Source organism: Homo sapiens, chromosome 5 (genome assembly GCF_000001405.40).
Source record: "Homo sapiens chromosome 5, GRCh38.p14 Primary Assembly".
In the NCBI taxonomy this organism is placed as follows: Eukaryota; Metazoa; Chordata; class Mammalia; order Primates; family Hominidae; genus Homo; species Homo sapiens.
The window spans coordinates 141,609,254-141,620,880 of NC_000005.10; the positions used below are offsets into that span (position 1 = coordinate 141,609,254).

Genomic DNA, 11,627 nt, shown 5'->3' on the forward strand with positions numbered 1-11,627 from the left:
GGAGAATCCAGTTCATTTTAATAGACTGTAGATGACCAAAGAACTCTAAGGGAATACCACCAAAATTTTCTAAGAAATTCCTAGCAGTGAATAGTTACACTGCAGTCCAGTTTTACACTGCAGGCACAAAAACTGGACACACATAAACTGTCAGTACAATGTAGTGAGTAAGTCCATGAGTTTTGAATCAGCTAGGCCTAGGTTTGAATCCTAGCTCTGTCACTAACTAGTTCTATGTCTTCAAGCAGGCTGCTTGATCTGAGTTCCAGTTTCATTACCTATAAAATGGGAATAATAACAGTACCTATTTTATAAGGTCAATGTAGAGATTAATGAGATAATAAATCTAAGGCTCTTTAGCACTGCACTAGGGATACAGTTAAGTATGCAACAAACAACTGCTTTTATTACTGCTACTGTTGTTATTCCCTATCCTAGTCTGGAATGAATTAATTTTCCTTATCTATAAAGATGCTAAACATTCATTAATATTTAGAAACAGGAAGACTGGCATTACACAATCTGTAGTATACTGAATACAGGAAAACAAAAGGTTGCTAACACCACCACCTAACAAGAAAAAAATGCTTCCACGATAAATGGAATGAAAGTCCCGAAATCCTCAGAGTATCAGAAATGTTCTCTGTTGACCACAGGTGACAATTTATATCCCAAAGTGAACATGTGGAACTCACATATGCATGATAGAAAAGAGGGAAATTTAAAAGCTAAATCTATACAAGTTCTAGAAGAAAAGAGAGAAGCCGAGCACAGTGGCTCACACTTGTAATCACAGGGCTTTGGGAGGCCAAGGCAGGAGGATCACTTGACGCTAGGAGTTCGAGACCAGCCTGGGCAACATAGTGAGACCCCATTTCTTTCTTTCTTTCTTTCTTTTTTTTCTGAGTTGGAGTCTCGCTCTGTCGCCCAAGGGTGACATGATGTATGGCTCACTGCAACCTCCGTCTCCTGGGTTCAAGCAATTCTCCTGCCTCAGCCTCCCAAGTAGCTAGGATTACAGGCACCCACCACCACACCCGGCTAATTTTTTTGTTTTGTTTTGTTTTTGAGACAGTCTCACTCTGTCGCCAGGCTGGAGTGCAGTGGCACAACCTCGGCTCACTGCAACCTCCACCTCCCAGGTTCAAGCAATTCTCCTGCCTCAGCCTCCCGAGTAGCTGGGATTACAGGCACGCACCACCACGCCCAGCTAAGTTTTGTATTTTTAGTAGAGACGGGGTTTCACCATGTTGGCCAGGATGGTCTCGATCTCTTCATCTCGTGATCCGCCCACCCTGACCTCCCAAAGTGCTGGGATTACAGGTGTGAGCCACTGTGCCCAGCCCAATTTTTGTATTTTTAGTAGAAATGGGGTTTCACCACATTGGACAGGCTGGTCTCTTGGCCAGGCTGGTCTCAAACTCCTGACCTCGTGATCTGCCCACCTCAGCCTCCGAGAGTGCTGGGATTACAGACATGAGCCACCGTACCCCGCCTAGCGAGACGTCATTTCTACAAAAATAAAACATAAAAAAAATTAGGCCAGGTGCAGTGACTCATGCCTTAATGCCAGCACTTTGGGAAGCCAAGGTAGGAGGATCACTTGAGCCCAAGAGTTCAAGACCAGCCTGGGCAACATAGTGAAACCCCACCACTATAAAAAAAAAAAAAAGAAAAAGAAAAAAATCAGCCAGGCATTGTGGTGCATGCCGGTAGTCCCAGATACTCCAGGAGACCGAGGCAGCTGGATTGCTTGAGCCCAGGAGGTCGATGCTGCAACTGAGTTGTCATTGCACCACTGCACTCCAGATTGGGTGACAGAGTGAGACTCTGCCTCAAAAAAAGAAAAAAAGAAAAGAAAAGAAAAGAAAAATTAGCCAGGCATGGTGGTCCCAGGTACTGGGGAGGCTGAGCCCAGGAGTTTCAAGGCTGCAGTGACCTATGATTGTGCCACTGCACTCCAGACCAGGCAACAAAGTGAGATCCATTCTCTTTTAACAACAACAAAAAACAAAACAGAGGAGAAAACCTTAGCGACCATAATTTTAGCAAAGATTTTTGAAATGTAACACACAAAACAAAAATGAAAAAAAATTGGACTCCATCAAAATTAAGTTTTTTGGTTCTTCAAAATACACTGTTAGGAAAATGAAAAGACAGCCAGAAGTGGTGACACACGCCTGTAGTCCCAGCTACTTGTGAGGCTGAGGCAGGATTCCTGAAGCCCAGGAGATTAAGGCTGCAGTGAGCCATGACTGCACTACTGCATTCCAACTTAGGCAACAGAGTGAGACTACCATTTCAAAGACAGAATGAAAGACAGACAAAAGAAAGTCAGACAGACAAAAGAAAGACAAAAGACAGAAAGGAAGGAAGGAAGGAAAAATCATGAGCAGATTCTTCACGGACGATACATAGATAGCAAATGGGCAAAATCTTGAACAGATTCTTAAGAAAGATATATAAACAGCAAGTAAGGACAAGAAAAGATGTTCAACATCATTAGGGAATGACAAATTAAAGCATACTGCAGCTGGGCACAGTGGCTCACGCCTGTAATCCCAGCACTTTGGGAGGCCCAGGCAGGTGGATCACCTGAAGTTAGGAGTTCAAGACCAGCTTGGCCAACATGATGAAACCCCATCTCTACTAAAAATACAAAAATTAGCTGGGTGTGGTGGCAGCCTCCTGTAATCCCAGCTACTCAGGTGGCTGAGGCAGGAGAATCCCTTGAACCTGGGAGGCAGAGGCTCCGGTAAGCCGAGATTATGCCACTGTACTCCAGCCTGAGCGACGAGAGTGAAACTCTGTCTCAAAAAATAATAAATAAATAAATAAATAAATAAAGCATACTGAGATATCATCACATACCCACTAGAATGGCTAAAATTTAAGACTGATCATACTAACAGTTGACAGGAAATTGGAACTTTTACACATTGCTGGTAAGAATGTAAAATGAAAACAGTTTGGAAAACAGTTTGAAAACAGTTTGGCAATTTCTCAATTAAGCATAGATCTACCAAATGACCCAGTCATTCCACTCATGGGTACTTACCCAAGAGAAATGAAGACATATGTCCAGCCCAAAAAGTTGTATGAGAATGTTCACAGACAAAAACTGCACTCCCAAAACTGGGAACACCCCAAATGTCCATCAATAGGGTAAATGAATAAACAAATTGTGTAAATCCATACAATGTAATAGTACTCAGCAATATAAAGGATTAAGCTATTGATATATGAAAGACCACACATCACAATAAAAGAAGCCCCAGCAAAAGGGTTCATACTGTATGATTCCATTTATATAAAATTCTAGAAAACACAAACTAATCTATAGTTACAGAAAGAAAATTAGTGGTAATCTGGAGATGGGAGGACGAGGATGGGTGAGAGGGAGGGATAACAAAGAGAGAAGGAGGAAACTTGAAGGTGACTGCTATATTCATTATCTTGACTATAGAAATGGTTTCATGAATAAATATGCAGTTTATTGTATTTTAATTATATATCAATAATGCTGTAAAAATAGAGATGAAGGGTATCTTTTCTACTTGATCTTAAAGTTCTGACACTGAAAATAAAACACAGACAGATCTGAGATGTAAGGCCAACTACCAACGTATGCTCTTTGGTTTTCTGTGACCTTCAGTATCAAAAATGGTTTATAAATCATCCTGTCTTGGGTCCTTACAGTATTTTAAATCTTAAAAGAAATTACAAATCCAAAGCCTTCAGATGACACTACTCACAAGACAGGAAATAAGTCACAAAATCAGAAATCCAGAAAATTATACAGGACACCATAAATTCTACCTATATTTGCCACCCTAACAAAATTCCCAGATAGCTACTAAGGACCAGTCATATCCACCACCAAGGATGGAATTTTCCCATCCTCCATAAGAGAATGTTTCCTTTAATTCAATTCCATTATGCTAACTCTCATTTGCATCCCCTTATCTGTTCTATCCCCCGCCTTGGAGGAAAGAAATTTAAACAAATATTTAAAGGGCAAACTGACTCTCCCTAACTGTTACAGAGCCAAGCAATAGAGAGCCAATTTCTTCAATCTTTTTCCTTTCAATCTCACAGCTTCTAGTATATCTGTTCCTTTTATATAATCTCTTTCTACTACTCCAGCCATTCCCAAGATCCTAAAATTTAGTAAAGAAAATGTAGAATCCAAAATTTCTGCTCCTCTTCCTCCACTTGTTCATCCAATTTCCACCTCTTAGCCCCCTGATGTTTCCAACCTACAACTGCAGAAGTGACTGTTGCACTGAGTGGGTGTTTGGACTTGATGACATTTAAAGTCCCTTCCAACTCTGAAGTTTTAAGGGTACCATTCACAGTAAGATTTAATAATGGATGGAAGTAAGAATTTCAAAGTTGAAAGAACAATGAGAGTTATCTTGTAATCAGTGGTAAAATTCATTAAAATATTAGTCTATTTCTCTTTTCCTTCAGTAATTCTTTTACTTCCTTAAAAAGGGTTTCTTGATCCTAAGAAACGTGTTAAAAAAAAGGAGAAATACAGTAAAATATGTTCATAGTAATTATTCTTTACTTTTCAATTTTAGCTTAAAAGTTTTAAGAAATTTTATTATCAACAGCTTCTGACTGCCCCTAATTCCCCAAAGGCCTGGCTATTCATAGCGCTCAAATCAGCCCCCACGTAAGTAGGAAAGGAATAAAAACACAGGGAGGAGGTGACAGGCAGCCAGGCAAGGGGAGAGTGTGGCTTTGTCTCACCTAACCCCAAGGAGGGGCAAACATCCAATGCTTTGCTGGTAGCATAAAATGAATTTTTTGCCTACTGCTTTCAAACAAAGGTAATTGAGAAAAGGAGGCTCAATGAAAAAAGAAAACCACTTAAGTAATACAAAGTTTGTTTCAAAATGGGGATGATTTTTGTAGCCATAAATAATTTCAGCTACTGGGACATAAAAAGGGATATATAAACCTGCATATACAAACTCTTTGCTTCTCTATAACATCTAGTATTTATCAATAAAAATTATTTTAACCTGTTCTTCTAAATCATATGTGACATACAACTTATCTTTTAAATCTCTATTACATTTCATGGAAGATATATAACACTCCCTGAGAATAGCCTGGCAATACATTTATAAAATACCAAGGGCCTTGGGGAATAACAAAAGGTGATTCTAAGACACAGGAAATAAAATTATTCTGACCCGTGCACCCATCAACAAAATTAAATCATGTCTCACTATTTTCTTAGCTTTCATAATAAACATAATTTACGGGTCATAAAATTTTCAGCTTTTTAAAAAAATTTACCAACTCTCCCAAGGCAGAGATTTTAATTCTAAGGCATTCCCTCACTTTCACCTCCTGTGAGGGAGAATTTTCTTTGAAAAAGTACAGGTAACCATACCAAGTAGACTCATGATCTGTCCTTAAGACAAGGCAGGAAGAATGGCGGAAATCTTTAAGCTACCATTCTGTCATCTCAAACATCTCACTAACGTTCCTGTAGGCTCCCCTCCCTCTTTCCAAACTATATAATCCTTGCGTTCATCATCTGTTAAAAAAAAAAAAAGGTGTACAAAGCGCTCTGTATATTTTTCAGTTTTCTGCAAACTTTTGCAAAGCTCTCTGTATATTTTTCAGTTTTCTGCAAACTTTTGGATTAAAGTTAATGTTTTAAGAGGATATAAGCAGAAATCTGCACGAACAACTCCACTTCTTTCTGCCTGGCATCCTTTAATTTGTCTCCTTTTGGACAGGAGTCTACTACTAAACATTTATACTCTATTACTTTGCATTTAGAAGACCGTGTAACTGCAACATGATCATAACTCAATATAGGAATCCAAAATTAAACTAATTTTAATAATTTTAATAATAGTAAAAATCATTCTCTTGGCCGGACGAGGTGGCTCACGCCTGTAATCCCAGCACTTCGGGAGGCTGAGGCTGGCGGATCACGAGGTCAGGAATTTAAGACCAGCCTGGCCAACATGGTGAAACCAGTCTCTACTAAAAATACAAAAATTAGCTGGGTGTGGCGGCGTACACCTGTAATCCCAGCTGCTTGGAAGGCTGAGGCAGGAGAATCGCTTGAACCCGGGAGGTGGAGGTTGCAGTGAGCCGAGATCGCGCCACTGCACTGCAGCCTTGGACACAGCAAGACTCGTCTCAGAAAAAGAAAAAAAAAAAAAAAAAAAAAGGGCCGCACGCGGTGGCTCACGCCTGTAATCCCAGCACTTTGGGAGGCCGAGGTGGGCAGATCACGAGGTCAGGAGATCGACAACATCCTGGCTAACACGGTGAAACCCCGTCTCTACTAAAAATACAAAAAAAATTAGCCAGGCGTGGTGGCAGGTGCCTGTAGTCCCAGCTACTGGGGAGGCTGAGGCAGAAGAATGGCATGAACCCGGGAGGCGGAGCTTGCAGTGAGCTGAGATTGCACCACTGCACTCCAGCCTGGGCAACAGAGCGAGACTCCATCTCAAAAAAAGAAAAAAAAAATTCTCGCTAATGCTCCTAGTTAAATCAGGAAGCAATATTCTCTCTTACAATGCATCACTTTCTCGATTATATGAGAGTGCATACAAAGTCTATTAAATGTAAGAATACTCTGCAGCCTCCTAACATCCCGGTTCTACTTATTCCCCTTACGTATATTTTGGAAATCAGTCTATTTGACACCCACATTGATCACTGCTGAAAAGTCAGAAAACCCTCTGTTCACCTAAAATTTTTATTTTCCTTCATCTTAAGGACTTGTGAAAGGAAATGGAATAATGCCGGAGAAGGGGTATGCTCATGGCCCAGGAGAAGACAGACTCATGAAGAACCAAGGGGTAATACCAGGCAGCCTGGCTTCAGCCACTCACTGTCAGCACGTCTAACAATCATGTGTTTTTAAAAGATGATGCCCAACCACTTTTAAACTGAGGGTCCATCTCCTTTCCACACAAGATGCCTCAGAGGGTAAGAGCAGATCTCAGACAATTTGTGAGCTCTGTGTTCTCACCAGTTAATCCGTATTTAGAACCTGCATAAGCCAGGAAAGGTATGTAGCAGCTAAAGGAATTATAAACCCTCAAATGCAAACAACCTTCGGGCACACTTAGTCCAAACCAGTGCAGTTTTATACAGTACATTCTTAATGGAGTTCCAGAGGACACATACTCTAGAAAAGGTGGAGGCGGCGAAAGACCTTTGAGTTCAGTTTTAGCCTATAGTTCAAGAAAACTAAGCCACGGGTATCAAAAGCACACCAGCAATCTCGCCCACTCCACCCACCCACGTATACATACACAGACACAAAGAGAAGTGGATTGCAATGCTCCTCCTCATCTCTCATTTCCACAGAGTTCTCATAAAAGGAGCAAGAGGAAGAAAGAATATTCTGATGCCTTGAGATAGGTTACATTTGGCAATAAAAGGGTTAAGCAGCACTACTTTCCTAGAAACCTTCCAATTCCGTAGCTACTAATGCAATTTTCCTCATTACCTGAGCTATTTAGTTTTAAAAATTCAGCAGATTAAGGGTTAAGACTAACACCGCAGAAAGAAAAGAGAACTTGGTTCAGCTCCATCCTCTCTAAAGCAAATACCTACAACCCTGAGCCAAATCCATTAAACATATAGAAGACTTCATGGACATTCCAAAAGACAGGTGAAAAGGGGTTGAGCTTCCTCAGGTTTCTCACCTTACAGTACCACACACATAGTAGACTTCACAAGTTCGTGAAATAATTGTTAGATAAAATAGAGTACATATAAAATTCTACTCAAGACATGAAAACAAGTCACTGAGGTCACCACAAGTCAGCAGCAATAGCTGGAATTTGGGTGAGGAAGGTCAAACAGTACTCATGGAAATAAAATCAAAACAAAAAGATACAGAAATAGAAGGAATATGAGCCCTAGAACTTAAGTTTTGGAAGGAAAGCTAACGGGGGGGAGGGGTCAATTCTTATCCTAAAGAAACATACAAAAATGCTGCTTTAGTCACCAAAGAAGGAGGGGGTGTCAATACCCTTAACCTTATATTTCTAGGGGGGGAAAAAAAGATGTTCACCAGATAAAAACAGATGGTTACTGACATCTCAGATATCACTGGAAAGGGCAGTCCAGGAGCACTTGGTCTTGCTAGAAATAGGAAGAGATGAGTCACTATTTTAATTCTATTTAGAATTAAACATCTAACCCTCCAGGGTTAACATCTCAACCCTCTAGGTCATAAAACAACATTTTCTTCCTGTTTCCATCGCTTTATCAGTTTTCTTCCCAAATTTGTGGAGCTGGGTCAAAATGTTGGGAGGTGGGACTAAGAGTTACAAGCCATTTGTTTAGTAGAAAGATACACTAGTGTAAGGGCATAAATACCTGGAAGAGAAGACAAAAGAGCTACAGTTATAACTAGCTATTATAATGATCATCAATATCCAAGACTTTTCCTCTCCTGGACAGTGCCCCGTATCTTACAAAGCTTTTATAGCAAAAAAGCAACCAAACGGCTCCCTGGAGAGAGGCGTTGGTGTGGGCAAAAGGTAATGAAATATGATAGGGTTACATGTATATCACTATTCCTTCACTCGGATTGAAAGTAACTGGCACTTGAGGAAAGCTTACTCTTCTACAGGCACGCAAAGGGAAGCCGATAGTCGCCTTGGGGCACAAGAGGCAGTAGAAAAGGAGTAGAGGAGACGGTTATCATGGGAAATGTATAAAAAACAATTCAATTACAAACTTCTTGAACTCGCAGTCCAACTTTCTTCCCACAGGAGAGGTTTATCACCATCCTAGGTCAAGAAGGGCACAATCATGAGAGTTCTAATCCTCTGAAAAGTGATAAGCAACAGGGCAAAGAGAGAGGTTCTCTGGAGAGAGGAATACTGGTAAACAAATAAACGTCATGCCCCAGTGACCATAGGACCTGGGCAGGAGCCCATTCCTGTAATCGCAAGGACAAACGTCCAAAGAAGGAGTTGGGGGTAGGGCTCAAGTCAGGTAACATTCCTCAGGGGAAGGATTATCAAGTGACACCGGGCGGAGGGCCCACGGGGGACTGGGCGGGAGGAAAGTTAGCAGGTAAAAAGGATGAATCATGGAGAAGGAAGTGACCTTTAGGAGAAGGAAATACGAGAATACCAAAAAAGGTGTAAGGTTAAGAAGAGAAAATGGACCCAGAAGAGGGGACCAAAAAAGAGGAGGCGTGTTCGGGTACTGGAGGAAGAAGAAAGGAAGTGAGGCTGAGAGGGGAGAGACGGGGCTGAGAGCCGGCCGGGGATATGCGGGCGGGAGGGCAGAATGTAAGGGCTGGGGAACGAGGGAAGCCCCGAGGTGGCCGGGGCAAGAGCCGGGTGGGATTCCGGGGCTTCCCGAGGTCCCGAAGGGAGAGGATGTCGGGCTGCAGAGCTGCGGACCGAGCGAAACGAGGAAGGAAGGCGCGGGGGCGGCTCCCCAAAGCCGGGCAGGCGCCCCAGGGGCCGGCTGCAGGGGTCCAGAGGGCGGTTACGGGGCCAGGCAGGAGCGGGATGGGAGGGACACTCACAAATTTCTTAGATTTGCCGCCGTCGCCGCCCGCCGAGGGCAGCTCATCTGGGCTCCGGCCCTTCTTCTTGTCCCGGGTCCCGCGGCCGGGCCCCAGGCTCCCGCCGGGCGGCTCCATGTCCCGGTTCACGCTGGCCGGCGACCCCGCGCCTACGCCGCTCCCGCCTGGCAGCTCCGCGCCCGCCGCCGCCCAGTCGCTCTTTAGCCAGCCGCCGCGCCCCGCCTCATTAGCATGCCGGGCTGCGCGCGCCTCATGAATATACAACGACGACGCCTCGCTCCCGCCCGCCTGCCCCACTTCCGCCCGGACCCGCAGCCCCTACCAATGGGGGAAGGGAGAGGGGCGGAGGGAAGCCGCGGAAGCGCGCTACCTGCCCAGCGGACCTAACCATTCGGACCCACGTGGGGGGGGGTGGTGAGTGGGCGGTGCAGCTCTCCGCGGCCGCGGCGGAGAGCACCGCCCCCTGGCGGTTGGAGCAGCGCAGGCCTCTGGCTCCCACGCAGCGCCCACGTGGCTGTACAGCCTGACAGCCTGGACCCTCTCACATCCCAGACCAAAAATCGCGTGAGACCATTATCCTGGCAGAAAATTAGTGACAGGTTTTCCAAGAGAATGCAGTTTTCAATGTGTGCAATACCCATGGAACACATGAAAAAAATTATAGTGATAGCCACCATGTTTTGAAAGCAAGGTAGCAAGAACAGAGCTCGGTCCAGGGCAAGCACTAGACTAAACCAGACTCGCTCTGGAGTTTAATTTCCTAGTTCGAATTCCAGGTTAGGTACCATCTAATTGTTTCTAATCAGGACAAACTAATTATTGCCAACATGTGCCTAAACAGCAATAACAGTTACCACTTAACCATGCCCTTTGCTCTCTGCTAGGCACTAGGCAAACACTCTACATGTATTTTTCTAAGTCCCCACAGTCCCATGTGATAGATTCTGCTAGCCTCACCATTTTATAAATAGTAAATTTGGACTTTTGAGAGTTGAAGTGACTTGCCCAAGAACGCATAATTGATATAAAATTTAAACCCAGCTTAGTCTGATTTGCTGCCAAACCCTATGTTTAACCAGGATTCCCCACTGACATAAACCAAACATGAGTGAAAAGAATGAGTATTCTCCAAGAGTATATTCTTTGCTCTTCTAGCATGACTTTCTCCCTAAGCAATTTCATCCATTCTCCCAGCTACATCTGTCCCTTGTGTGACAGTTACGTGGCTACCAGTCGGCCTTCACAATATGGACTGAATATTCTTGACCACAGCTAGCAAGATTTCAAGCATAAGTTCCTGAAGGGCAGAGTCAGTGACTTACTTACTCTAGAGCCCCAGTACCTAGTCAAGGGCCTGAGATATACCAGGGACTCTGCCAAGCTGGCTGGCTCCTAAATTTGGCATTCATCTCTCTTGTGGTCCAGACCTTCTGATGGTGATCGGATAGAATGTTACATAGAGCTGTCCATCCCATACTTCAAACTTGACTTAGTGCTGAGCTTTCCAGACATTTTGTCTAAAAAGTCCAAAAGCTACTTTCTAAGCTAGTGTTGAGAACAGACAGAATCAGAGAATGGAGGGGAGGAAGTGACCCATCTATCAGTCCTCTTTCTTGTATCAGTCTGTATCTGCTACAATATTTATCATACTACTGACTGGAATGTAAACTCTTCTAGAGAAAGGTTCATGTTTGTGGCTACTACAGTATTTAGCATTGTTCTTCACATAGACAGATAATGGGCAACTTCTTCTGTCAGGCACTGTGCTAAGCACTTAACATGTTTTATCTCAGTGTATCTTCACCAACTAGCATCACTACTCTAAACACCCAGATTCAAAAACCTGAAGTCATCTTCTACTCCTCTCAAATCTGCCCAGGTTTGTCTAACTCTTAACCAAAATCCTCTATTAACTTCTTATATTTACAATAATAAATGTAGAATACATACACAGGGCCTAACGTAGGATAAGTGCTGAATGAATGTTAACTATGCTTTTATTACATGCATCATCATGCCCATTTCCCTCTCCTTTCATAAATAGGAAACTAGCAAGAATTAACATTCCTAGAAAGGCGAAAGG

The 11,627-nt window shown here is 43.1% G+C and overlaps 1 protein-coding gene across 4 annotated transcripts in view, besides 4 other annotated features; it reads right to left on the minus strand.

Moving 5' to 3' along the window:
• The window catches only part of DIAPH1 (diaphanous related formin 1), a 103,980-nt gene extending 94,233 nt beyond the window's left edge, over positions 1-9,747 (minus strand). For 3 of the 4 annotated variants that reach the window (NM_001079812.3, NM_005219.5, NM_001314007.2), the window contains exon 1: positions 9,545-9,747. In NM_001079812.3, coding sequence (NP_001073280.1) covers positions 9,545-9,661 — 117 coding nt within the window. In that variant the 5' untranslated portion in view covers positions 9,662-9,747. Of the gene's footprint in view, positions 1-8,740; positions 9,044-9,544 lie in introns of those variants that run through there. The other variant, XM_047416885.1, reaches the window with a different exon arrangement.
• Positions 9,325-9,521: a silencer, noted in NCBI's record as "fragment chr5:140998145-140998341 (GRCh37/hg19 assembly coordinates)". NCBI's record gives its function as "represses an EF-1alpha promoter that drives an FKBP-Casp9 reporter gene in an ReSE screen in K562 erythroleukemia cells {active_cell/tissue: K562}" and the evidence as "EXISTENCE:reporter gene assay evidence [ECO:0000049][PMID:32094911]".
• Positions 9,325-10,101: a biological region, named in NCBI's record as "ReSE screen-validated silencer GRCh37_chr5:140998145-140998341".
• Positions 9,332-9,381: a silencer, noted in NCBI's record as "silent region_16455". NCBI's record gives its function as "represses an Ori minimal core promoter by ATAC-STARR-seq in GM12878 lymphoblastoid cells {active_cell/tissue: GM12878}" and the evidence as "EXISTENCE:reporter gene assay evidence [ECO:0000049][PMID:35858748]".
• Positions 9,442-10,101: a silencer, noted in NCBI's record as "silent region_16456". NCBI's record gives its function as "represses an Ori minimal core promoter by ATAC-STARR-seq in GM12878 lymphoblastoid cells {active_cell/tissue: GM12878}" and the evidence as "EXISTENCE:reporter gene assay evidence [ECO:0000049][PMID:35858748]".